General features: G+C 44.6%; 2 protein-coding genes across 6 annotated transcripts in view, besides 2 other annotated features; both read left to right on the top strand.

Annotated features, from left to right (window-relative positions):
* The window catches only part of URGCP (upregulator of cell proliferation), a 50,814-nt gene that overhangs the window by 19,509 nt on the left and 3,806 nt on the right, over positions 1 to 27,499 (top strand). For 2 of the 5 annotated variants that reach the window (NM_001077664.3, NM_001290076.2), the window contains 4 exons: positions 19,402 to 19,428; positions 19,733 to 19,803; positions 25,261 to 25,311; positions 25,521 to 25,559. In NM_001077664.3, coding sequence (NP_001071132.1) covers positions 25,278 to 25,311; positions 25,521 to 25,559 — 73 coding nt within the window. In that variant the 5' untranslated portion in view covers positions 19,402 to 19,428; positions 19,733 to 19,803; positions 25,261 to 25,277. Of the gene's footprint in view, positions 1 to 621; positions 657 to 19,401; positions 19,429 to 19,732; positions 19,804 to 25,260; positions 25,312 to 25,520; positions 25,560 to 27,499 lie in introns of those variants that run through there. The other 3 variants (NM_001290075.2, NM_001077663.3, NM_017920.5) reach the window with 3 other exon arrangements.
* Positions 197 to 356: a silencer, noted in NCBI's record as "silent region_18132". NCBI's record gives its function as "represses an Ori minimal core promoter by ATAC-STARR-seq in GM12878 lymphoblastoid cells {active_cell/tissue: GM12878}" and the evidence as "EXISTENCE:reporter gene assay evidence [ECO:0000049][PMID:35858748]".
* Positions 417 to 846: a silencer, noted in NCBI's record as "silent region_18131". NCBI's record gives its function as "represses an Ori minimal core promoter by ATAC-STARR-seq in GM12878 lymphoblastoid cells {active_cell/tissue: GM12878}" and the evidence as "EXISTENCE:reporter gene assay evidence [ECO:0000049][PMID:35858748]".
* Positions 622 to 27,499, top strand: part of URGCP-MRPS24 (URGCP-MRPS24 readthrough) — a 40,039-nt gene continuing 13,161 nt past the window's right edge. The window contains exons 1-4 of the mRNA NM_001204871.2: positions 622 to 656; positions 19,733 to 19,803; positions 25,261 to 25,311; positions 25,521 to 25,559. Coding sequence (NP_001191800.1) covers positions 643 to 656; positions 19,733 to 19,803; positions 25,261 to 25,311; positions 25,521 to 25,559 — 175 coding nt within the window. The 5' untranslated portion in view covers positions 622 to 642. The remainder of the gene's footprint in view (positions 657 to 19,732; positions 19,804 to 25,260; positions 25,312 to 25,520; positions 25,560 to 27,499) is intronic.

Below are 27,499 nucleotides of genomic sequence, written 5' to 3'. Positions count from 1 at the left end.
TACCTGCCTAAGGACTCATAACTTGTAAGAATAGTTGTGAAACCTCACTGGAGGAACTGCAGATTCATTATTTTTCTTAATAACACACTATAAAGAATAATAAAAGTGCTTCGCATTGCCTAGAGCTTCACAAGGCCACTTTATACACATTTTACAATGGGTACCGTCTCAGAGAGGCCAGCAACTCGTCCAACACAGCACTGCAAGTAAGAAGTAGGAAAGTTATTGTTTTGCTTAATAATAAGGCCTTACGCTTCAGGGCTAAAGAAAAGCCTTTTCTTACAGAAATTAAACTCCAATTACAGAAAGGTGTGAAGTTCAGTAAGGCCCTGGGGCAGGTTATCCTACAGCTTTTGGCACCGCAGGCACCGCCCGGCGAGTTCCGGCCTCCAGGCACCTGGGCAGGTGGGCGTTGGGCGGGCTGCGGGCTGACCTGGGCCGCCCCGCCCCCACCCCGCCCCAGCTGTCCCCGGGCTGCTCCGAGAGGACCCCGGGCCCACCTTACCCCACCTCACCCCACCTCCACCCCTGGAGCGCGTCCCGGAGCGGGCGGGCGGCCGGCGGGCCAGGCCCCTCCCCGGCGCCGAGCCGCGGCCGCGCGGAGGAAGCGAAGGAGGCGGGAGCGGAGACCTCGCTGCGCTCATGGCGTCGCCCGGGTGAGTGCCGCCTCGCAGGCCCTGCGCCCCCGCGGCTGCCGGCAGGAACGGGAGCGGGACCCGGAGCGGCTCTGGCCTGCGGGCTCTGGTCTGGGATGCGGCCCGGACCCGGCCAGGGGCGCCCCCGCCCGCCAGGCCCACCAGGCCCACGGCCCGCTCGCGCCGACCTTGGGCGGACCGGCCGCGCGGGCGTGGGGGGCGGGCGGGGGCGCCGGCGGAGGACAGCGGTCCCCCGGGATGCGGGGGTCCGGGTACGCGGGCCTAGGGGATCCGGGGAGGGCGCGAGGCCCGGAGGTGCCCGGGGCGCGGCGGGAGCGAGGGCCCGGCGAGCGGCTGGGGAACCGGGGTGCGGGTCCTCGCCGCGGCCCGGGGCAACCCGCGGAGGCCTGGAAATGCTTCGCTCCGGCGCCTGGTATCGATGTTCCTGGGTTTTAAACTTGCTCGCGTTGGGAGTGGACGCTTGTTTGCCGCGTCGTTGAGACGTACCCAGAATGTCAGGATCCGGGCAGATGCAGACCCTTTGCTGACAGCCGGAGAGCCGCTCCGGGATCTCCTTGGTCGGGGCCATTGCCTACCGGCCTGCCTTGGGGTGGCTGCGCTTATTTTGATATTACCTCTTTTCAACTTTTTTGATTTAAATGTTATTCCTTTTAGGAAATGATGGCGACACATATAGTTTGTAATTTTTGAGAAAAAATTCTCACTTGGCAAACTAAAACCTCAGTAATTCATTATTTTTTTGTTTTTTGTTTTGATAATTTTACTAGTACTGAAATTTGGGAATGACAGTCCAACACTTTCATTTTACAAAGAAAGAAATTAGGCTCAAGGTCATCGCTTTAGTTGTTAAAATTCTTCTTTGACTGTTACCCATCATTCAGAGGGTCTTGGATCTAGTGGCTGTGATAGCCATTCAGAACAGTTCCCAAAGAGCTTTACAGGTGTGTGTTCAGTGGTAGGGGTGGGGAGGGGACGGTGCTAAGGGGCCGGGATCATGGATTTCGTGCCTCCTCCAGATGAGGCCTGAGCCATGCCCTGGGGTGATTTGGCTCAGTACAGTGGGCCTGAATGAAGCAAGCTGAATTTGAACCCCGCCTGCTGTCTTTCTAGGCTTTGGGGCAGTGGTCATTTCCGGGACCAGGCCTTTTCATTGCCAGCTGACTACCCAGCACTTTGAGCTCATGAATAGAGTAAGCAGGGAACCATCCCTGGGAAGGCCAGGCTGATTGACCTAGGGGTTCAAGGTCCTGCAGCATTCCTTTCCCCCTTGTCAGGAAAGGGTGGGCAGAGCCTCCTGGAGGCAATGTTGAGGGTGGCTGAACCTGTGTGGGGCTGCCCTGAACGAAGCTTTAAAAAAAAAAAAAATAGTGGTGCATTTGGTGCCCAAGTACACTACTTTGTAGACATGGGTCAGAGGTGGACTTAATGCTTCACTGGTGTTTCTGTGAGCCAGTAGGGCTTAAACTGTGTCCCTGTAGTTGGTGACATTTGGTATTTGCGGTTGTGATTATTTGTGTGACCCCCATGAGTCTGCAGTTTGTAATCTATAATTTTCTGCGGGATATCCATTGCAAAAGCTGAGGTCTCAAAACCTTTAGTATACAAGTCATGCACCACAAAATGACAGCGGAGGACCACGTTATATGACAGTGGTCCCATGCACAAATACTTATCATTGTGTTAGTTGCCTACAGTATTCATACTGTAACATGCTGTACAGGTTTGTAGCCTAAGAGCAACAGGCTGTACCATATTGCCTAGGTGCATAGTACACCTTACGATGTAGGTTTGTGTAAGTTTGCCCTATGATGCTCACACAAGGACCAAATTGCCAAATGACACATTTCTCAGAATGTATCCCTGTTGTTAAGTGACTCATGACTGTTGCTTTATTTCATTTTGTGGGGTAAGCTATGCACATATTATGTACACTGGCAGACATAGCTCCTAAGTGTCCACTTCTACAGGCTTCCCTGGTAGATCAGAGTCTAGCTAGGAAGACAGTGCTTTCTGAGACCCTCAGGGCTATCTCAGTCAGCCAGCTAGCAAACATTTAAGCTACTGCACTAGGTATCTTAGGGAGCAAGTCCACAGATAAAGGGCAGGGATGGGAAGGGACTGGTGATCTGGACTGGGCTAGTCATAGAGGAGTCTCCAAATTGATGTTTTTATTAAGTGACAATCTCCATGAGTTGGGAAGGAAAGAAGAAACGCTGACCATTTTTGAGGACCTTATGAATATGCCAGGCATTGTGCTAAATAAAGGAAATGGCAATCAAAGGATATGAAGGCATCAAAGGAAAAGATGTGTTTGAGAAATGCCCCATGGCCCAGTGTGTTTGGAGCTAAGTGGAGACAAGTTCAGAGGATGAGACTGGGACCAGATGATGGGACCTGGTCCCGTTTGTGGACTCACTGCCCACCACTCGCTGAAGGTAAATGAAACTATTTGCATTGGTGGAGCTCTCAGAGAATCAATGTGACAGCAGTATAGAGACGGCAGAGAGGGCAGAAGACAGGGAGCAGCTCATGCTGCCATCTCCCCTCTTTCGAACAGGCCTCACTCAACAGCTCATCTCTTGTCTTTGCCCCTTGCTTGGCTGTCTCACAACTGCCCAGATCTTCCTTGTCTGCCAGCTCCTCTGCCTGCTCTTTCACTGTTGGGGTTTCCTTGGGCTCTATAATCCATCTCCGCTAGTCCCAACACATGTTCTCTGCATGGTCACATCTGTTTTAGTGGCTTTAACTGTTGTCTGAATCAGAGGTTCTTAACTTAGGCTCCATGATTCATGGATGGGCTTCTGGGGGTCCCTTTGTTCTCTGAAATTGTATGCAGCATTGGGAGTAGTGTGTAATTTTCCTGGGCACAAGGTCTGTAGCTTTCAACAGATTTTCAAAGGGGCTCTTATCCTTAACAATGTTACAACTATTCATCCTAAATTTCCAGATTTTCATTTCCAACTACACTAGATACAGCTCCTCAAGTTTCTTTAACCTGGGTTAGCTGTGTGAAGTCTATATTTTTCAGATTGTTACTGATGGATAATTTGAAAAACAATAAATAAAGATCAAGTATAATTGGCTTTACATAGACCACCGATCTTAAAATCTTAAAAAGATTTTAAATAGTCACTTATTCTTATCAGAGTGACAGCTTTACAGAAACAACTAGCATCCCTCCTCCCTCCCATCTGAGTTTGGGGGGGTACCCTGACAGATGTTTTCCTTTGCATTTACATACTAAGTTTGTTCCTTGCTCTGTTTTTACATAAATGCTATCATACTGTTCTGCAGCTTGCTTATTTGCCCAACAATATGCCTTGAAATTCTTTCCATGCCAGAACAAGGAACAGATCCACATACATTTGTTTTTTGTTTTTGATTTACCTACATTTTTTTTCTCTCTTTCTCTTTCTCTCTCTCTCTTTTTTTTTTTTTTAATAGCAGTGGGGGTCTCATTATGTTGCCTATGTTGATCTTGAACTCCTGGGCTCAAGCCATCCTCCTGTCTCGGCCTCCCAAATTGCTGGAATTATAAGCACATTACACAGTGCCCAGTCTACCTACATTTTGACAGACATATAATATTCCATGGCATGGTTACATTATTCAGTTAAGAATGTTCCCGGTTTTCTCTAAGATAATGCTGCCCATCTGTGTCTCACTCTGGACATGTAGAGTACCTGCAAAGACTTGGACTGCTTGAGCAGAGGGCCTGCTTTTGTTTTTTGTTCTTCCTGCCTGTTGTAACTTGATGCTGCCAAATGATCCTCTTAAATGATTGTACCACCTTCCCTGCCACCACCAGATTTTAAGGATTCTCTGTACCTCCCAACACATGATGACATCATACATGAAAAGTTTTGCCTGCCTGATGGAATAATTGAGTCAAGAAATAGGATGCTAATGGCATCTTCGCTTACCCGGTCTTTAAAGATAGAAACTTCATCCCTGACCTCTGTATTCCCTTAGAAAGATTCCGCTTTTTTCTTTGATCCAGTGGGTAACAGCAAGTGAGTAAGTTGATCTCCATAAGTAACTCTCACTCCTCAGCGCTTTGTTTCAGAAAATATGGTCCCTTTCTGGCCAGGAGAAATGGAGTAAGACCTGCCCTAGAAGGGAGGAGCTCGGACACAGAATGGGTGGAAGGACCTGTGGGGTCCGAGTGGGGCTGTGGAGAATGCTTAGCTATATAGAGGTGGGACTCATGGTAGTGGATGAGGTGACTGAGTGATTGAAACCCAGGAATGTGTGGCTAATTGGGGTAGAGGAGAAGCCATCACTGGACGACAAACCCAAGGCCAGTTGTTCCTCTGTGGACTGAGTCCTTGCCTGAGGAAGGAGGGCACACGCACCTTGGCACCTGCCCCTCTTCTTCCCCCCTCCTCCTCCCTCTCCACCATCTTCTCCTCCCCCTTCCCTTCCCCTCCTCCTCCCTCTCCTCCTCCCTTCTCTGTTCTGTCTCCGTTCCTCCCCTCCACTCCTTTTCTTTCCTCTCGCCTGCTCCTCTCTCCTCCCCAGTGACCTCCTCAGGTCCTTTCCCCAGCCCACTGTTCCTTTAAACATTCAGCTGGAGACCTCATCCACCCTCCTGGCTGCTCCTCTCAGGAACATCTCGGCTCCTGGGAATTCTCAAGGACTCATCTACCTTGGAAGCTGAAAGCACCCCCATTAACATCCATTGGCTGTCAAAAGTACCTGACTTGACTTTTAACCTTTTGTCTTTGCTGTCCAGGAAGATTCTCTCCCACCACTGTCATTTTATGGGAAGGGAAAGGCTCAGCTTTCCCACTGGAGGCCCGGCCTGGTCTGAATGGGCCAGGCCACAGCCCTAGAGCTCACAGGCCCTCTACACTGGGTGAAAGATGGGTCCTCTGGCCACACTGGGGGAAGGGGAAAGGGGGCCCCGTAAACCACACTGAGAAGGAAGCATTAAGAACTCAAGATGTATCTTTGCTCTTGGGAGAAGTCCAGCAGGACCCTTATCTTGCTCAGTAGCTGCTGTGACTTCTGCAGAAGGGACCTAGCTTTGCCAGCAGGACTGAGACTTTGTATTGGCTCTCTGCTCACGGATGTGGGATTGCCCAAAAAGCCAGCAGCCACCCAGAGTGTTCCCTACGCTGGACGTACGGGAGAACTAGCAGGGATAGAAAAGGCCAGAAGTGTCCCTGGTTCTTTAGGACAGCTCTCCAAACTTCACTCACCTGCCCATGGGTGGCAGAGTGCACCAGGACTTCATGGGATGCAACAGCCATGCCGTTGACCTCTCCATGGGGATGGACTGAAGAGCCCACCCCAGCTCAGGGGAGAGCCTCTCATCCGGAACCACGAGTGACAGGGACTTTCCAGTCCTAGGGAATGTTCTTTTAAATTTAGATCCTGCCCACCCCCAACAAGTGTGCTGTCAGGCCCTATTCTAAATGCTGTTGCGTATATTAAGTTATTTAATCTTCACAGCAACCTATTCAATAAGGACTGTTATTTCTAGTATAGAGAGGAGGGCTCCTAGGCCTGGCTAAGCAGTTTAAGATAAAATGCAAAATGACCCAATTCAGGATGATTATAGTTGGTTTAAATTTGGTTGCTGAGGCACAAACAAAAGTGTTGGATTCTGTAGTTTTTGTTGTGATTACAGAACACATGCAGTATCTTCCAGAACCCTTTGATAAAGCTGAAGTAAGGATGGGCTCACATGGCCCACGTGAGTAAGAAGCTGTGTTGACAGAGTGGACGATACCTTCAATTATGGCTTAACAAAAAATGCCTGAAAATGGAATAACTTAGAAGGAACTCTTCCTTTAAAGGATTTAATGGCAGGTGCAGTGGCTTACGCCTGTAATCCCAGCACTTTGGGAGCCTGAGGCAGAAGATGGCTTGAGCCCAGGAGTTTGAGGCAGCGGTGAGCCATAATCATACCACTGCACTTAAGCCTGGGCAACACAATGAGACCCTGTCTCCTGTCTTTAAAAAAAAGAGACAGAGACCTACCTGTATGCTAGGAGCATCCTTCTCACTGTAGGTCAGATGTGGTGGTTCTGTTTTAAATTTGCTGAATTGTGACTTTTTTTCTTTTTCTTTTTTTTTTTTTTTTTGTTTTGGTTTTTTTTGAGGCAGGGTCTCACTCTGTCGCCCAGGCTGGAGTGCAGTGGTGTGATCTCAGCTCACTTCAACCTCCACCTCCTGGGTTCAAGCGATTCTCCTGCCTCAGCCTCCTGAGTAGCTGGGATTACAGGCGTGCACCACCATGCCTGGCTAATTTTTGTATTTTTAGTAGAGATGGGGTTTCACAATGTTGCCCAGGTTGGTCTCGAACCGCTGACCTTAAGCGATCCGCCTGCCTTGGCCTCCCCAAGGTGCTGGAATTACAGGCATGAGCCACCGCGCCCGGCTGACTTTTTTTTTTCTTTCTTTCTTTTTGAGACAGAGTTTTGCTGAGTCTCCCAGGCTGGAGTGCAATGGCAACAACATGGCTCGCTGCAGCCTCAATCTGCTGTGCTCAGGTATTCCTCCTGCCTCAGCCTCCTGAGTAGCTGGGACTACAGGCGCATGCCACCACACCTGGCTATTGTGGATTTTAAGAAATTTTTTTTGTAGAGACAGGGTCTTACTATGTTGCCCAGGTTGTTCTTGAACTCTTGGGCTCCAGAGAGCCTCCCACCTCAGCCTCCCAAAGTGCTGAGATTATAGGCGTGAGCCACCACACTTAGCCTATTGTGACTTTTTAGGGTCTCTAATACTTTCTTTTAGGGCACTAAAAACTTAATCTTAGATCCAGTTGGTATTCATTTGGGTGAATGAAGTGGTAGGGACCTACCTTAATTTTTTTTCCAGGTTTTTGTGATTGAATAAGTTCCAGATACTCAAAGCGACCTAGATCAGTGATGAAATTTTTGACTGCATTTGGACCTATTTCTGGGATCTCCTTTTACTGATTTCTCTGTATATTCATGAGCAACCTTAAATTATTTTAGACTATTTAATTATTATGTTCTATTTTCTGGAAAGTTTTGTCCTTCACTGTTCTTTTTCAAAATTTTCCTGATTGTTATTTCATAAATATTTTTTCACAGAATCAACTGGTTTTGAACCTCAATTTACTTATAGGTTAATTTAGAGAGAATTGACTTTTAAAATTATATTAAAGGCCAGGCATGGTAGCTCATGCTTATAATCCTGGCATTTTGGGGGGCTGAGGCAGATGGATCACATGATCCCAGGATTTGAGACTGGCCTGGGCAACATAGTGAGATCTCATCTCTTAAAAAAAAAAAAAAAAATTAAGCCTTTCTGCCTAAGATAGAATACTCCTTTAAACATTTTTTATTATATATATAAATATAAATATTTATATTTGTATTATAATAAGGCATATATTATAAATATATATTTATATAAAAATTTTTATATAAATATATATATACACTTTTTGAGATGGAGCCTCACTCTGTTGCCCAGGCTGGAGTGCAGTGGTGTAGTCTTGGCTCACTGCAACCTCCGCCTCCCGGGATCAAGCGATTGTCCTGCCTCAGCCTCCCGAGTAGCTGGGATTACAGGCATGCGCCACCACGCCTGGCTAATTTTCGTACTTTTAGTGGAAACAGTTTCACCATGTTGGCCAGGCTAGTCTCGAACTCCTGACTTCAGGTAATCTGCCTGCCTTGGCCTCCCAAGAGCTGGGATTACAGGCATGAGCCACCACACCCAGCCTTTTTTTTTTTTAACTCTTTCCTCTCTGAAAATCCAGAAATAGATTTCTTTTAAATTAAAATAAATTTATTTATTTATTTATTTATTTATTTATTTATTTATTTATTTTTGAGACAGGGTCTTCTTGCTCTGTCACCCAGGCTGCTGTGTACTGCAGCCTCAAACTCCTGGGCTCAAGCGATCCACCTCAGCCTCCTGAATAACTGGACTTAAGGCACATGCTCCTGGACCCAGTTAATTTTTAAATTTTCTGTAGAGTGGGGTTTCACTGTGTTGCTCAGGCTGGTCTTGAACTTCTGGCTTGGAACTCCTGACCTCAAGTGATACTCTCACCTTGGCCTCCCAAAGTCCTGGGATTATTGGCATGAGCCACTGTGCCCAGCCCTTTTCAGTTCTTCAAGTCTTAATCAGATTCAGTATTTTAAAATTCTTCTCAAATAGGTGTTGCACATTTGTAACATATTATTTTTCTTGTTGCTACTACAAATCGGAGCTCTCTCCTTCCATTGTTTCTAACCTATTTGTATAATAGGAAGGCAGTTACTGATTTTAACTTTGTATGTCCCCGGCTTACTGAATTCTCTCATTGTTTATGATAGTTTTCAGGTTGATCTCTTGGGTTTTCCAGGTCTACCTGCACCATCATTTCTTTGCATTATGGAGAAAATGCAAGTTGATTCTGTCTTTGTTGTGAGTACACTGTGGTGTCAGGTGGAGGTTGTAGAGCATGTATCTTTAGGGAAGTTGCCGACAGTGGTCTCTCCTATACGCGTTGAAGGATTGCCTTTATTAGCTCTCCAAACCCCTTCCAGCTCACGTGCTGGCTTAGCATATCCAAGGGTAGGGGTCTCGGGCCAGTCTGTCAGTGCCAATTTGCTCACGATTCCCTCAAGTCTTGCTTTACCCACAGACCTCCCTATCTGAGACAGGAGCAACTGATTGAACCTGGAAAACTTGAACTTATTTTGGCTTGTGTCTGTAGACACTTTGTGCAGTCTGTTGCAGTCCTTCACAGATGCTTTTGAGAGTCCAGCCACATGCCATTGCTGCTGGTACTATTGCCCAGGTCTGAGCCTTTGTTGTTGTTTTCCTGAATATAAGGCTAGATAATGGAGCGTTTGTGATCCCTTGTCTATTCTCAGCCTGGCAGCCGGTAACATAGACAGGCCTGTCACCCTGCACCCAGGGCCCTTTCATGGCTACCCCATCCTCTAGAATAAGAACAGCCAGAACCTTTTTTTAAAAAATCTTTTTTATTTTTATTTTTTTTCTCTTCCTCTTCCTCCCCAAAGCCTTAGTCTTTTGTGGCCTGTAAAGTTCAGTCGTCTCTAGCTTCTCCTGCTGCCTTCTCCTACTCACTGATCACTCTCTTGCTCAAGCCACTCGGGCCTCCCTGTTGGTCCCTGGGTACGTTAGGGCCTTTGCCCCGGCTATGCCTGCGGCAGTCTTCCCCTGGTAGTCATATAGCTCCTGCCTTCACCTCCTTCCAAACCAGTACTAACACGGCCCTTTCTCCAGCCAACCTGCTCTGCGCTCCCCACCACCATTCTCAGCACACCTGACCTTGGCCTGTGCCTTGTTTTCTCTGTAGCACTTAACATCTTCTAGCATAGCCTTTTAAATTTTTATTTATTTATTTATTTATTTATTTTGAGACAGAGTCTCATTCTGTTGCCCAGGTTGGAGTTCAGTGACAGGATCACGGCTCACTGCAGCCTCAACCTCCTGTGCTCAAGTGATCCTCCCACCTCAGCCTCCCCAGTAGCTGGGGCTACAAGTCCTACACTTCTTAAATATAGGGGATATTGTTGATTACCAATATCCCCTTGCCTTGTTGAACTGTAAACCAAGAGCAGAACCTTTGTGTCCTCATTAATGTATCCTAAATTCCTAGAAAGGTTCCTAGCAATAAATATGTGGATAAATCCAAGAGAACAATAAATATGTGGATAAATCTACAATAAATAATAAATAATAATAAGTCCACAATAAATATGTAGATAAATCCAAGAGAACTTTGCTTAAGATGTATGTAAGTCCCTTTGGATCCTTGTAGCACATCTGAGGCATGTGTGTCAGGGATGATCAGCCTCATTTTATAGGTTAGTATATGTGTGTTTGTAGTGTTTTTTGTTTGTTTACTGTTTGTGCAGTGAGTGTTCCCCTCTCTCTCCAACTTAATGGTAATGTAAGCTGTTGGAGAATTAAGGCTGTGTTTTAAAGCTCTATTTTCCATTGTATGGGGAAACTTACACAGTACTAACTTTTTTATCTTCTAGTTCTTTGACACTAAGTATGTAATAAATTGTAGTTAACCATATTCACCCTACAGAATTACAGAGCACCAGATCCCATTCTCCTACCTAACTGTAATTTTGTATCTTTTTTTTTTTTTTTTTTGAGACAGAGTCTCTCTCTGTCGCCCAGGCTGGATTGTCGTGGCGCAATCTTGGCTCACTGCAATCTCCGCCTCCCGAGTCAAGCAATTCTCCTACCTCAGCCTCCTAAGTAGCTGGGATTACAGGCGTGTGCCACCACGCCCAGCTAATTTTTGTATTTTTAGCAGAGACAGGGTTTCACCACGTTGGTCAGGCTGGTCTCAAGCTCCTGACCACGTGAGCCACCGCACCTGGTGTAATTTTGTATCTTAACCAACCTCTCCCTATCCTCCCCTCTCCCATGCATTCCAGTCTCTAATAACCACAATTCTACTCTATACTTCCATTCACTCAATTTTTTTCTTAGCTCCCACCTGTGAATGAGAACATGCAATATTTGTCTTTTTGTTCCTGACTTAAGGTTCTCCAGGCTCATCTGTGTTGCCACACAGGATATGATTCCATTCTTTTTTATGGCTAAATAGTATTCCTATACATGTATACCACATGTTCTTTATCAGTTTGTATGTTGATAGACAGTTACATTGATTCCCTATCTTGGCTATTGTGAATAGTGCTATATTAAACATGGGTGCACATATTCCTTTGACACACACATTTCCTTTCTTTTGGACAAATAGTAGTGGGATTGCTGAATCACATGCTAGTTTTATTTTTAGTTTTTGAGAAACCTCCATAAAGGTTTTCCATAAAGGCTGTACTAACTTACATTCCCACAGTGTATAAGAATTTCCTTTACTCCACATCCTTACCAGCATTGGTTTTTGTTTGTTTGTTTTTTGAGACAGAGTCTCACCGTGTCATCCAGGCTGGAGCGCAGTGCCATGATCTCACCTCACTGCAACCTCTGCCTCCTGGGTTCAAGTGATTCTCATGCCTCAGCCTCCTGAGTAGCTGGGACTACAGGTGTGTGCCACCACATCCAGCTAATTTTTATATTTTTATAGAGACAGGGTTTTGCCATGCTGGCAAGGCTGGTCTTGAACTCCTGGACTCAAACAATCCATCCACCTTGGCCTCCAGAAGTACTGAGATTATAGGTGTGAGCCACTGAGCCTGGCCTGGTTTTTTGATAATAGCCACTCTAACTGGGATATCATATCTTTTTTTATGATTTTGATTTGCATTTCCTTGATGATTAGGGATGTTGAGCATTTTTTCGTTTATTTCTTGGCCATATATATGTCTTTTGAGAGATGCCTGTTTGATCCTTTGCCTACTTTTCAGTCAAATTATTATTTTTTTTTTGCTATTGAGTTGAGTTCCTTGTATACTCTAGATATCAGTTCTTATTGGATGAATAATGTACAAATATTTTCCCCCATTCTACAGGTTGTGTCTTCACTCTGTTGGCTGTTTCGTTTGCTGTGCAGAAGCCTTTTAGTTTGACATAGTCCCTTTGTCTATGTTTTTTTTGTTTAAATTTGAGACAGAGTCTTTCTCTGTCACCCAGGCTGGAGTGCAGTGGTGTGATCACAGCTTACTCAGCTTCAACCTCCCGGCCTCAAGCAATTTCCCCACCTCAGCCTCTCAAGTAGCTGGGACCACAGGCGTGAGCCACCATGGTTGGCTGATTTTTCCAATTTTTTGTAGAGATGAAGTCTCCTTCTGTTGCCTAGGCTTGTTCTCAAACTCCTAGCTCAAGCGATCCTCCTGCCTCAGCCTTCCAAAGTGCCATAATTACATTCATGAGCCACCAAGCCTGGCCTCAAGAGTTCTCATTATTGATTTCTAGTTTTATTCCCTTGTGATCTAAGAAGACACTTGATATGATTTTGATTTTTAAGAAATTTTTTGGCCAGGCACAGTGGCTCACGCCTGTAATTACAGCACTTTGGGAGACCGAGACAGGTAGATTGCTTGAGTCCAGGAGTTTGACATCAGCCGGGCAACATAGCAAAACCCCATCTCTAAAAAAAATAAAAAATAATAATAATTAGCTGGGCATGGTGGCATGCACCTGTAGTTAGTTTCAGCTACTTGGGAGGCTGAGGTGGGAGGATTGCTTGAGCCCTGGTGGTGGAGGTTACAGTGAGCTCAGATGGTACTACTGCACATCAGCCTGGGCAACAGAACGAGAGTGTCTCAAAAAATTAAATTAAAATTTAAAAAATTTGTTGATTTATTTTGTGCCACTACATGGATCTATCCTGGAGAGTGTTCTGTGTGCTGGTGAGAAGAATGTATATTTTGAAGCTTTTGGATAAAATGTTCTGTAAATGTCTGGGTCTATTTGGTCTATAGTGCAGTTAAGTCTGATGTTGCTTTGTTGATTTTCTGCCTAGGTGATTTGCGGTGCTGAAAATGGGTATTGAATTCTCCAACTATTATCGTATTGGCATTTATCTCTTTAGCTCTAATATTTGTTTTATATATCTGGGTGCTACAGTATTAGATGCATATATATTTACAATTGTTATATCCTCTTGCTGAATTGATCCCTTTATCATTATATAATGACCTTCTTTGTCTTTGTTTTTTCATGTAAAGTCTATTTTGTCTAAGTATAGCTACTCCTGCATACTTTTGGTTTCCATTTGCATGGAATATTTTTTTTTCGTCCCTTTACTTTCTTTTCTTTTTGTGTGAGATGGAGTCTCACTGTCACCCAGGCTGGAGTGCAGTGGTGCGATCTCAGCTTAGTGCAACCTCCGTCTCCCGGGTTCAAGCAATTCTCCTGCCTCGGCCTCCCAAGTAGCTGGGATTACAGGCATGTGCCATCACACCCGTCTAATTTTTGTATTTTTAGTAGAGATGGGGTTTCACCATGTTGGCCAGGCTGGTCTTGAACTCCTGACCTCAAGTGATCCTCCCACCTTGGCCTCCCAAAGTGCTGGGATTATAGGCGTGAGCCACTGCACCCAGCCTTTTTGTCCTTTTACTTTCAGTCTGTATGTCTCTTTATAGGTGAAGTGAGTTTCTTGTAGACAACATAGAGTTGGGTCTCATTTTAATCCATTTAGTTGGAGCACAATGGTACAGTCACTGCCTACTGTAGCCTGGATGTCCCAGGCTAAAGCAATCCTCCTACCTCAGCCTCCTGAGTAGCTGGGACTACAGGTGCATGCACCATGCCCAGCTAATTTTTTCATTTTATTTTACTTTAAAAAAATACATATTTTTTTTGAGACAGAATCATTCTCTATCTCCTAGGCTCAAGTGGAACAGTGCAGTCATGGTTCACTGCAGCCTTGACCTTCCAGGGCTCAGGTGATCCTCTCACCTCAGCCTCCTGAGTAGCTGGGACTACAGCCTGCCACCACACCTGGCTTTTTTATTATTATTATTTTTGGAGAGATGACATCTTGCTATGTTGTCCAGGCCACTCTCAAACTCCTGGAATAAAGGGATCCTCCCACATTGGCCTCCCAAAGTGCTGGGATTATAGATAGGTGTGAACCATCATACCCAGCTTTATTTTATTTTTTTGTAGAGATAGGGGTCTCGTTCACTTGCCCAGGCTGGAATGTCCGGTTTTACTTTCCTGTTTTTTCTTGGTGGCAGATACCATTTGTTTGCTTTCAGATATAACATTCCCCTAAGCACTTCTTGTAGGCCGAGTCTAGTGGTGATGCATTCCCTCAGTTTTTACTTGTCTGGGAAACACTTTATTTCTCCTTTTCTTCTTCAGGGAGTTTTAATTTTTCTTAAACATGTGGTCACTCTCTAGAGGTGGGACACCCCCACCCCATTTTTGGCTTAGATCTTCTCGTGTGTTGACTTGTGTCCCCCTAGAAGGAGTGTTGAAGTCCTAACCCACAGTACCTGTGATTGTGATCTTTTTTGGAGATAGGGTGTGATTTCTAAAAAATTATATGTGATTAGTTAAAATGAGTTCACAGTGGATTAGGGTGGGTTCACATATAATAAGACTGATATTCTTACAAGAAGTGGAGAAGAGACCCAGAGGGGAGAAAGCCATGTGAAGACAGAGGTGGAAGCTGGTGTAGCTGTCAAGCCACACATACACTGTATTAGTTTCCTGTGGTTCCTGTCAAAGGTACCACAAACTGGTGAGTTAAAAAAAAAAAAATTGGGGCTGTTCGCGGTGGCTCATGCCTGTAATCCCAGTACTTTGGGAGGCCGAGGTGGGCAGATCATGAGGTCAGGTGGCTGAGGCAGGAGAATCACTTGAACCTGGGAGGCAGAGGTTGCAGTGAGCCGAGATTGCACCACTGCACTCCAGCCTAGGCAACAGAGTGAGACTCCGTCTCAAAAAAAAAAAAAAAAAAAAAATTGGCTGGGCGCAGTGGCTCACACCTGTATTCCCCACACTTTGGGAAGCCAAGGCAGGAGGATTGCATCAGCCCAGGAGTTTGAGACCAGCCTGGGCTACATAGCGAAACCCTGTCTCTATAAAAAATACAAAAAATAGGCTGGGCAATAGTGGCTCATACCTGTAATCCCAGCACTTTGGGAGGCCAAGGCAGGCCTGATCATGAGGTCAGGAGTTTGAGACCAGCCTGGCCAACATGGTGAAACCGCATCTCTACTAAAAATACAAAAATTAGCTGGGCATGGTGGCACATGGCTGTAATCTCAGCTACTCAGGAGGCTGAGGCAGGAGAATTGCTTGAACCTGGGGGCGTAGGTTACAGTGAGCCGAGATGGCGTCACTGCACTCCAGCCTGGGAGACAGAGCAAGACTGTCTCGGGGGGAAAAAAATACAAAAAGTAGCCAGGTGTGGTAGCGCATGCTGTAATCCCAGCTACTTGGATGGCTGAGGCATAAGAATCACAAGTATGAAATTGCGTTGCAAGAAAGCAGTGGGCAAGTCAGAAAGAAGGGAGCTGACTGTGAGGAGACAAAGGCTTGCTGTGGATTTTATAGGATGGTGTTCGTGCTGTTTTCTGGAGAGAGCTATGTGCAGTACTGATAATGCCAAGGTTGCAGTGAGCTAATTTGCATTTTTCTATCAGCCGAGGGTCTGATGATAGCTGGGCGCAGGAAGATTGTGACTTATTTACGCAGGAGGATTATGTGTCCTGGACCATGAAGAAAGGCAGACTTACAGCTTATGTGCTTTCTCTTTGCTTTTCCTTGGTCCCACCAGCCTGACTCCTTTTCCCTAATTAGGACTCCACATTTAAAAATATATTGTTGATTATAATACAGTGAGTAATTGTACCTGTATTTGTCTGGTGCTCACCTTGTTCAGAATTGTTTTCCTATGCCATCTTGTTTTATGGGCACCATCCAGCAGAGGAACCAGTTTTGTTGCTAGAAATTAGTGATTGATCTGGAGCAAAACTTGGGTTCTGCCCACGAGGTTTGCCCTATCTATTCTAGGCATGGATGGACTGTCCAGGGAGTGCCATATTCTGAGGTAGGTCAGCAGAAAAACAAAGGTGTGACTTCCCCTAGTCGGTAATTACTTATGTGCTGAACACCCAGGTCTGCTAAATCAGAATCTCCAGGTTTTAGCAGAAAAGCTCCTAAGATAATTCTGCTGGGCAGTTAGAAAAAAAAGAAGGAAATGAAAAAGGAAAAGTGAGAAGACAAGGAAAGTTAACCCTGCATTGTCTTCTGTGGCTAGATGGTCAGCAAGACAGATGGCCTCCAGAATGAGCAATGGGCCATCAGCAGACCTGCCGGAAGTAGGGTTCAGCCACATGCCATTTATGGCATGGCTGCCCTGGTGTTGGTCAGGGGCTTGATTCTTTCTGCCAGACAACAAACCAGCCCGTCCACTGGCTAACTTAGTGAGAAGGAGCTGTGGACACCCTGGACCCTGAGGGTGGCGATCAGGTCACCCCTGCCCTGGAGAGATGTCTATGTGGGGAAGTGCCCAGAGGAGGGAAGGTGAGCAGCTGCTGCAGGTGGCCCCTAGGCAGTGTCTGACACCACACCCTGGGGGCTTAAGGACCTTGGCTATTTCCTGTGTTCTGACTGTATTCTGAATACCAAGAGAATATTTACCTTTTAAAAATTGCTTCCATGGCTGGGCGCGGTGGTTCACGTCTGTAATCCCAGCACTTTGGGAGGCTGAGGCGGGTGGATCACGAGGTCAGGAGATCGAGACCATCCTGGCTAACATGGTGAAACCCCGTCTCTACTAAAAAATACAAAAAAATTAGCCGGGCGTGGTCGTGGGCGCCTGTAGTCCCAGCTACTCGGGAGGCTGAAGCAGGAGAATGGCGTGAACCCAGGAGGCAGAGCTTGCAGTGAGTCGAGATCACGCCACTGCACTCCAGCCTGGGCAACAGAGCGAGACTCTGTCTCAAAAAAAAAAAAAAAAAAAGTTTCCAGTGGCCGGGCGTGGTGGCTCACACCTGTAATCCCAGCACTTTGGGAGGCTGAGGTGGGTGGATCACTTGAGGTCAGGAGTTCAAGACCAGCCTGACCAATATGGTGAAACCCTGTCTCTATTAAAAATACAAAAATTAGCCAGGCGTGGTGGCGCATGCCTGTAATCCCAGCTACTTGGGAGGCTGAGGCAGGAGAATTGCATGAACCCAGGAGACGGAGGTTGCAGTGAGCCAAGATCACACCACTGCACTCCAACCTGGGTGACAAAGCAAGACTCCATCTCAAAAAAAAAAAAAAATTGCTTCCAGTAATAAAAGTAGAATGTTTTTCAGCATTGTGAAGGATATGGGGAAAGGGTCATGATTATAAGTTAATAGTGAAGTAGGGTGTGTACAGTAAATATGCTAATTAAGGGCCAGGGTGGGCCCCAGAAGAAGATGAAACTAAACAGCCATTAGTCATCAGGGAGCAAATTGGGGCGTGCGAAAGCACTACTCTTCTATCTGTTAACAGAATGGGCTAGAGCAATGGGAGTAGATTAAGAGGAGGAGAGGACAGATTAACATAGGGTATAATTTTCAAACATATGACAGGAAAGCATTTTTATGATACTTTCTTGTATTTTACATGTGTCTTATTTTTGGAATCAGAAAAACATATATGGTGATATTAGTAATTTTCAAAAACTGCACTGCAGAGAGCTCCCTTGCCCCTGAGTAGGGCCGTTGGAAGTGCTGTTCTCTGCCGTCTTGGTCCGACTCCGCCTGATACACAGACAGGAAACTTAGCAAGGCTTAGAAGTGGGCTGGAGCCCGAGTTGACAGATTGGCTGGTGTTATAATTTTTAAAATTACTGGCTATAGGGTACAGTGGCTCATTATTTTTTGTTGAGATGAGGTTTTGCCATGTTGCCCAGGCTAGTCTTGAACTCCTGGGCTCAAGTGATCCCCTTGCTTTGGCCTCCCAGATGCTGGAATTACAGGCATGAGTCACTGCACCCTGCTCTAAAATGATACTATTCTGACTGCAGCATCCCCCTCCACATTTCATGTTCTGATGTGAGCAAGAGAGCCTTCTCTTTCTGCCCATGTATTTATTATCCATGTGGACTCACTAATTGCTGGTTTTCAATGGTTTTAAATCAGTTACTGTGTTTATGTTTGTGCTCACATTGTCCTAGATTTGACCAGTGAGAGTTCCTCAGGCTGGCTCCTGTGCCCATCATGTTTTCGAGCATTTCCTTACTTTCTGAAATAAGATGCTCAGGCTCCTCCTGTTCTTTCCTTGCCCCAGCCATCATTCAGGATCTCCAAGGAGTCCGTTTCTTTTAGCGTGGAAGGTATTAAAGGGTGCTAGGCATGCCCATTGCCACAACAGTGTCTTTGCTTCTTGGCCCTTTCCGTGGACAGTTAGGAAATAGATGCATGTGTACACTCGTATACACACAGAGATATGTGTGCACACCTACATCTACACACTTAAACACATATGCACATAAGCATGCATATAGAAATCACAGTTCACACGAGTGCCTCCAGTTCCATTGCGCCTCTGCAAGTTCTGCTGTAACTCTCCATTCTATGTTTGTATGTCCTTTCTTCAGCAGTTAGTTAGCACCCTGGCTCCTGGCAGAATCAATACATTTACTCATTTGCTCACTCTATGATACATCTAAAATAGTTTAGTCTTTTTTTTTTTTTTTTTGAGATGGAGTTTTGTTCTTGTCACCCAGGCTGGAGTGCAGTGGTGCGATCTCGGCTCACTGCAACTCTGCCTCCTGTGTTCAAGTGATTCTCCTGCCTTAGCCTCCGAAGTAGCTGGGATTACAGGCGCCTGCCACCACGCCTGGCTAATTTTTATATTTTTAGTAGAGACAGGGTTTCACCATGTTGGCCAGGCCAGTCTCGAACTCCTGACCTCAAGTAATCCGCCCGCCTCAGCCTTCCAAAGTGCTGGAATTGCAGGCGTGAGCCACCACACCAGGCCTAAAATAGTTTATTCTTAATTAGACTGCACTTATCATAGCTATTTAAAATAATTCAGGATCACCCCTTCCAGACCACAGTGTTAACTTCAGATGAACATCCTTCTAGAGTTCTGTATATATACCTATAGATAAACATACACAATTTTATTAAATTGTAATCATACTGTGCATACTTTTCTGTAGCCTGACTTTCCCCCGACTAATTAATATAACAGCTTTCCCTAATATCTCATCCAGCATCTTTTTGTCCACAAAAGAAATCCATAGCGTATTTTTTAATGGCTGCAGAATTTGACCATAATTCCGTTATTGCACTTTGATTTTAAAAGGCATCAGTTTTTCGCTATTATATATAAAGCTGGCATCAACATCTTTGTAACTAAATCTTAATTATTTCCTTAGGATAGAAGTGGAATTACTGGGCAAAGGGTATGTATATTTTTCTGTCTTTCTGAATGACTGTATTTGTGCTCTGGCCAGCAGTTTTGGAGAGTGCTGGTTTTCTAGACCAGTGTTTCTCAACTGTGGGTGCATATCAGAATCATTGAGGGCACTTTTAAAAGCAGTGATACCCAGGACCAGCTCCCAGAGATTCTGGTTTCATGGATCTGGGGTGTGACCCAGGGTTTATAGTTTTTAAAAGCTCTCCAAGAGATTTTATATGCGGCCAGTTTGATAGGTGAAAGTGGTATTCCATTTTTTTAATTATAATTTTCTTCTGAAATTGTTTCAGGCATTCAGATTTGGGAGAAGTAGCCCCAGAAATAAAAGCATCAGAGAGACGAACAGCTGTGGCCATTGCAGGTAAAGTTGGATGAATTGGATGTGGGCCCACTCTGGAGCTGAAGTACTTCTCCTGTCCCCTTGGGATTCTGGGTTCCAGCCCCTCCTGGACTTGGGATTGTGCATCTCAAAAATAAATAAGTTTAAGGCTTTTATTTTTCCTTTTACAAGAAGATTCCATCTAAGGGTCTTTTAAGCATTCCTCATATATTCAAAATAGTGTTTTTTGTTTGTTTTTTTTATGGGCAACACTTTATTCTAGAAAATGGAGTAAGTGTTCCCAGGATTCAGTTAAACAGGTGATTATGACACAATTTAACAGAAACACATTACCCCAATTTTAGCATAACTGCCATTGTAGGTCATAGTTAAGGTGACTGTATAGTTTATCTTCTAAAGTGGGCACTTCTGAGAGTGAAAGGGATGTAATGTTGGGAAAACAGGTATAAATTGGGATTGTCCCAGAGCACACTGGGGCTTGTAGTCTTCCTGGTTATGGTCCATACAGGCTGGTTTTTCTTTCTCTGAGGATTTGGGGGTGGGGCTGTAACGCCACCCTTTGTAAATTCACCTTTAAGGTATGGTGGCCACACTCCAGATATCTTTAGCTCTCTTACTAACTCATTTTGTTTTATATTTTCTTTTCTTTTATTATTTTATTTGATATTTTATTTTATTTTTTGAGACCAAGTTTCGCCTTTATTGCCCAGGCTGGAATGCAGTGGCGCGATCTCAGCTCACTGCAGCTTCCACCTCCTGGGTTCAAGTGATTCTGCTGCCTCAGCCTCCCAAGTAGCTGAGATTACAGGCATGCGCCACCATGCACGGCTAATTTTTTGTATTTTTAGTAGAGATGAGTTTCACCATGTTGGCCAGGCTGGTCTCGAACTCCTGACCTCAGGTGATCCACCCGCCTCAGCCTCCCAAAGTGTTGGGATTACAGGCGTGAGCCACCGTGCCCAGCCAGTAACTCATTTTAGATATATCTTTCATAAATTAGGTTCTTCTTAAAATGAATGTGCTAAAAAAATAAACTATGTTTTAACTGCCAAAAAAAAAAGTGTTCTATTGGATATTAATAGAGTTATGCAAAAACAAAAATCCACAAAAATATGCAAATAAGTTTTGGTTAATAAAGTTTTATTTTAGGCTGGATACAGTGGCTCACACCTGTAATCCCAGTACTTTGGGAGGCCAAGGCAAGAGGTTCGCTTGAACCCAGGAGTTTGAGACCAACCTGCGCAACATAGTGAGACACCGTCTCTATGGAAAAAATCACTATTTTATTCATTCAAACAAATATTTTTTGAGTACTTACCATGCACTAACATTGTTGTAAGCATTGCGATATTGTAAACAATAGTAAATGAAAAGGCTCAAAGCCCTTCATGGAACTTAAATTCTGGAAGGTAGGCACCATGGGGATTATTGGCCAGTTGGTCAAGGCTTGTAGCAGAATTGGGATCAGGCAGTAATTGCCCAAAGCCCTTTAGTTTCTCCACATCTAGAATTATGCTATTCAACACAGTAGCCACTAGGCACATTGTTTAAAATTAAACAGAATTAAAACTTCACCTCCTAAATACTCTAGCTGTATTTGCTCAGCAGCCTGCATGGTGAGTGGCTGCAGCTTGGACATTGCAGATGGAGAACTTCAGCTTGGGAGGTTCCCTTGGGGAGTGTTGTTCTAGACAAATGAGAAAGAAAGCATGGGGATGGGGCGAGGAGAGGGAATGGCCTTATTGGATGCTTATTGTGAGCTAGGTTGTCTTAATTACTTTTAACTATGACCTCTAAGATACTTATCAATCCCTGTTTCATTTGAGGAAACCAAGGCACAGAGACACCCTGGTTCTTCCCCGAACTTTGATCTCTGTGTCTCTCTCTACTGAATAAACCTCCAGTGGTTATTCTTTATAGTTGTTCTTCATGAGTTATGTGAGTTCCTCTTGAGCATATGCTTCATTTTAAAGACTTAAAGCAAGGTTTTAAGCCTATAGGATTAAAAACAAGTTGTATTAAAGTATACTATACAGGCCAGGTGCAGTGGCTCATGCCTGTTATCCCAGCACTTTGGGAGGCCGAGATAGGCAGATCACTTGAGGCCAGGAGTTTGAGACTAGCCTGACCAATGTGATGAAACCCCGTCTCTACTAAAAATACAAAAATTAGCTGGGAGGGATGGTGGGCGCCTGTAGTCTTAGCTACTCGGGAGGTTGAGGCAGGAGAATCGCTCGAACCTGGGAGGTGGAGGTTTCTGTGAGCCGGGATCATACCACTGCACTCCAGCCTGGGCGACAGAGCAAGACTGTCTTTAAAAAAAAAAAAAAAAATTATACTATACATTCAGAAAAGTACTCCAATTAATAGCTTGAGAAATATTCACAAACATGAACTTACCTATGTAAGCCAGAAACCAGATCGAGAAGCTGAAGAAAACCCATGCCCCCAAAGGTCCCTTCCAGTTACTTCACCTCTCATCTGTCATTATCTGGACTTCTAAAAGGATAGATTAGCTTTGCCTGGTTTATACTTTATGTAGTCACACGATATAATTTATTTATCTTACTCAACTCTGAAGATTCTACTTCATAGCTCATTCTATTTTTGTCTCACTCCATCACTCAAGCCGGAGTACAGTGGTGGCCATCATAGCTCACTGCAGCCTTGACCTCCTGGCCTCAAGGGATTCTCCTGTCTCAGCCTCCCAAGTAGCTAGGACTACAGGTGTGAGCCACTGCACCCGACTAATTTTTTAAAAAACTTTTTGTAGAGACAGGGGTCTTGCTATTGTGCCCAGGCTGGTCTTGAACTCCTGAACTCAAGTGATCCTCCTGCGTTTTCCTCCCAAATTGCTGTGGTTACAGATATGAACCACCCCACCTGGCTTGAAAATGGTTTTAATGGCCTTACTTGGAGTTCTCCAACAATGGGCTCATAACAGTTATTCCTGGGCTCACCATGGTGGTAGGGCCTGGCCTATCCTCTGTCCCTGTGTTCCGTGTGAGCCCAGTACTCCCAGAGTCAGAGCTTATCTCATCCTTAGGTCACTTCCTGCCCAATGTGAAGTATAGTGGAGACGTTGGCTCATGGAGCTGAGCCCTCAGTGGCCCCCCATGTTTGCTGTTTTGTGTCTTTGCCTGGAGCCCTGCTGCTTCCTCTTCCACCTGCCCCACAATCTGCTGATGGCTGCAGAACATCAGGCTCTCTCCGAACCCTAGTCAGTGGTTTCCTTAGTTTGGTAACCCTCAGTCTTTGGCTACTTTGTGCATCCTTGACCTCATCCACCTATTAAATCCACATCAGAGCTATTTCCCACCCCTAACCAAGCAAGGCCCTATTTTCTCTGGGTCTGGAGGTTACTCCTGACTCCAGCTTAAAACTACTCTCAGAACCACCCTAACCCTATCTCTGGCATCTTTAGACTTTCCCATTCTTTTCTCTAACCATTTTCTCTCCTCACAGGGCATTTTGGGTTCCTTGGAAAATTTGTTCTGATGGCTTTTCCTCACTTGAATAATGTAATCTTTGGACTGCTTGGCATTGTGGTTGATGTGTGTGGATCTTGTGCCTTCTCTGATCTTCTCATGCTTCCTGGACCCCATTTTCTTTTTCTCTTTCCTGCTTTTCACATGTCCATCTCCCAGAGATATCATCAAAGAAGACGGTTTGAAATGTTAGGTTTATCTACCTGATTACATGGAAATCATGAGAAAACATAAATCTGAAAATATCCGAATCTTGATTCATAAGCTCTTAAAAATATAAATTTTGGGGCCGGGCAAGGTGGCTCACGCCTGTAATCCCAACGCTCTGTGAGGCCAAGGCAGGTGGATCACAAGGTCAGGAGATCGAGACCATCCTGGCTAACACGGTGAAACCCTGTCTCTACTAAAAATACAAAAAAATTAGCTGGGTGTGGTGGCGGGCGCCTGTAGTCCCACCTACTCAGGAGGCTGAGGCAGGAGAATGGCATGAATCCGGGAGGCAGAGCTTGCACTGAGCTGAGATCGCGCCACTGCGCTCCAGTCTGGGCAACACAGCAAGACTCCATCTCAAAAAAAAAAAAAAAATATATATATATATATATATATATATGTATATATATATATATTTATATATATAAATTTTGGAACCTAGGTGTTACTTTTTCTTGGATCAAAGTCAAAATAGTCAAAACATGCACTGAGAAGTCTTGCTCCCTCCTTCCTAAGCCTCCTGTTCGCTCCTTTATATTGTGTGCTTGCAAGCAAATCTAGAGTTTTAGGTCTTTGTTCATACATAAATATCTGACTAGCACTACATTAAACACATTTTGTAATTAAGATGTTAATGTTGATGGACATTTCATGATGTTTGGAGACTTTGGACAAATAACAGTTCACTTGTAAGTCACAACTCTTCCCCACTGTCTCTCCCCCCGCACCTCACCTCTGTGTATTTGTGCTCTGATGTACATTTCAATTTTAAGTGATTACAAAAATTCCTTATGCTGGAATAAAAATAACATTGACAGGTGCTGAATTTTTAAATAGTCAAGGAATTTCTGTCAACTTACATTTTAAATAGTTTCTAAAATCAAAGGTTAATCTATGTAAGTTTTATGGTTATTCATGTTTTATTTTCCCAAAGTTTAGAAAATTCTATAAAGATATATCCTAGAGCAAATCTGTGTCTTGTGTGTAGCTATTACTACCTTGTGATGTATTTTTTGCTGGCAAAACATTACATTTACATAGGAAAAACTGAAACCAATAATAGCACTAAAACATCAGCCACCATATTGTCACTTGACGTTTTTTGTTGTTGTTTGGTGTTTTTTTTTTTTGAGACAGGGTCTTGCTCTGATGCCCACGCTGGAATGCAGTGGTGCAATCACAGCTCACTGCAGCCTTGACCTCCCAGGCTCAAGTAATCCTCCTGCCTCAGCTGGGACCACAGGCTCGTGGCATCATGCCCAGCTAATTTTTGTTTGTTCGTTTGTTTTTGAGATAGCCTCACTCTGTCGCCCAGGCTGGAGTGCAGTGGCATGATCTCAGCTCACTGCAACCCCCGCCTCCTGGGTTCAAGCAATTATTTTGTCTCAGCCTCCCAAGTAATTCCAAGCTGGAATTACAGGCATGCGCCACCACGCCCAGCTAATTTTTGTATTTTTAGTAGAGATGGTTTTTCGCCATGTTGGCCAGGCTGGCTGGTCTCAAATTCCTGACCTCAAGTGATTTTCCTGCCTTGGGCTCCCAAAGTGCTGAGATTACAGGCATGAGCCACCATGCCTGGCCTAATTTTTTAAAAAAAGTCTTTGTAGACACAGGGTCTTGCTTTGTTGCCCAGGCTGGTCTCAAACTCCTGGACTCAAGCACTCCTCTTGTTCAGCCTCCTAAAGTGCTGGGGTTACAGGCATGAGCACTTGAAATTTTTGACAGAAAGGTTCTAACTTGCTGATGAAACTAAATGTATTTGGTTTCTTTTTTCTTCTAGATTTGGAATGGAGAGAAATGGAAGGAGATGATTGCGAGTTCCGTTATGGAGGTAGAAACTACAGGATTTGGCAACAGATTGGACTGGGGAGAGGGGGAGTGGGTAAAGTGACAGATAACCGGGATTTTATATTTAGAACAATTGGGAGAAGTTGCCATCTTGGTGAGAAAGAAGGGTTCTAGGTTTAGCTTCAATTAATTTGTGTCAGCCAAGGGTGCATTATTTGATTGACACTTCATTTTCCATTGCTTTTTCCATAGATGGTACAAATGAGGCTCAGGACAATGATTTTCCAACAGGTAAGCATTTTCTCTGCCTTTTCTCTCTGTTCTATGAAAGGGGGTTATCATCTAGGCCAGCAGTTCCCACACCTGACTGTATCAAATCACCTGGGGAGGCAGAGCACTCAGGTTTAGGATGCCCTACTTCATTAACCCTTTATACATTGTTAACCATATTGCTAAAAAAAAAAAAAAAAAAAAACCCTGGGAAGCTTGCTAACCACATAGAGTAACCAGGCCCCCCCTCCACCACCCAACATACTCACTGCCTTTAATAAGTTAGCATGTTTGGAGGTGAAACCCAGAGATGTTTCATTTTTTAACAAGTTCCTGAAGTGATTGATTCTAATGTACAGCCCGGTTTGGAAACGATTTATCTGGTCCAACGCCTTCATTTGCAGATCAGGATACTGGGCCCAGAGCTTCCAAACAACCTGCCAAGGGCCACACACTGGGCAGAAGTGTTTTCTTTGTCTTTTTCCCATTGCCTTTTACTACCATGCTACTTAAAAAATAAAAAGTTATTCCATGTCTGGACAAGAAAAACAATGTTCCTAGTTTCATTCAGGCAAAGCTAGGAAACCTGAGTAACACCTGTTTTGGCACAATGTGACTCTTCCCATATAGTACTTTTGTTTTTGTAACAAGTTCATAGGTCCCCTAATGTTCTGTGGGGCAGTCCTGTGGCCACAATGCCTGTGGAACTCTCTGAGCAGAGTGTCCAGCACTGTGAGTCCTGCTGGTCGTATGGAAAGTGGTCTTGAATCCATCACTTGACCTTCTTGGGAAACAGGCAGAGGGCTGGGTCACCCAGTGTTTCCTTTCATGGTTTATCTAAGCATCAAAGCAGTATCATACACGTTGCTTCCTCTCTCGAGAAAGGAACTGGAAAAAAGGCTGCAGGGCAGTGGAATTTGTATTTACTTCATGCATTAACATTTAAAGTGACTCAGCACGGTGCCTCACATCCAGCACTTTGGGAGGCTGAGGCAGGCAGATCATTTGAGCCAGAGAGTTCAAGACCAGCCTGAGCAATATGGCAAAATCCCGTCTCTACAAAACATACAAAAACTAGCCAAGTGTCTTGTGCACCTGTAGTCCCAGCTCCTCAGAAGCTGAGATGAGTGGATCTCTTGAGCCTAGGAGATCAAGGCTGCAATAAGCTGTGATCACACCACTGCCTTCCAGCCTGGGTGACAGAGTGAGACACTGCCTCAAACAACAACAAATTTTAAGACAACTAATTAATATGCAGCATGAACATTAGTAAGGTGCTGGGCCAAGACCTGGATGGTGAATGGAATCTTCAGAGGTAGCAATACTGTTTCAAGCATCTAGCTTATAAGATCTTATATTGTATAGGGTGATATTTGAGTATCTGCGCAAGTAAGTGCTCACTTACTAACAGTCTGCACTGAATATTTTAATACATTTAAAATTTAAAACTGCATTAAAGCCAGGCACCATGGCTCACACCTGTAATCCCAGCACTTTGAGAGGGCTAGACAGGTGGATTGCTTGAGTCTGGGTTCGAGACCAGCCTGGGCAACATGGCAAAAACCCATCTCTACAAAAAAATACAAGGATGAGCTGGGTGTGGTGGCACACACCAGTAGTTCCAGCTACTTGGGAGGCAGAGGTGGGAGGATCTCTTGAGCCCAGGAGGTTGAGGCTACAGTGAACTGAAATCATGCCACTGCACTACAGCCTGGGTAACAGAGTAAGACCCTGTCTAAAAAAAAAAGAAAGGGGAGAGGAAAAAAGAAAGAAAAAAAAGAAAACCTGCATTATTGATTTCAGGTTTGCAAAATGGTTGTTTAGCTATAATTGCTGACTCTTTATGCTTAGTGATTTCTTTCTAGTTCCTTTAAAATATTCTCTTATTTCTAGAGAGAAAAAAAACACAAAAAAACATTAACTAGAAAGCCAGAGAGTGATTCAGTGATTATGACTCCTGT

This window comes from Homo sapiens, chromosome 7 (assembly GCF_000001405.40).
Source record: "Homo sapiens chromosome 7, GRCh38.p14 Primary Assembly".
Taxonomy (NCBI): domain Eukaryota; kingdom Metazoa; phylum Chordata; class Mammalia; order Primates; family Hominidae; genus Homo; species Homo sapiens.
The sequence above is the reverse complement of the archived record's forward strand: the minus strand, read 5'-3'. Positions and strand labels throughout refer to the sequence as shown.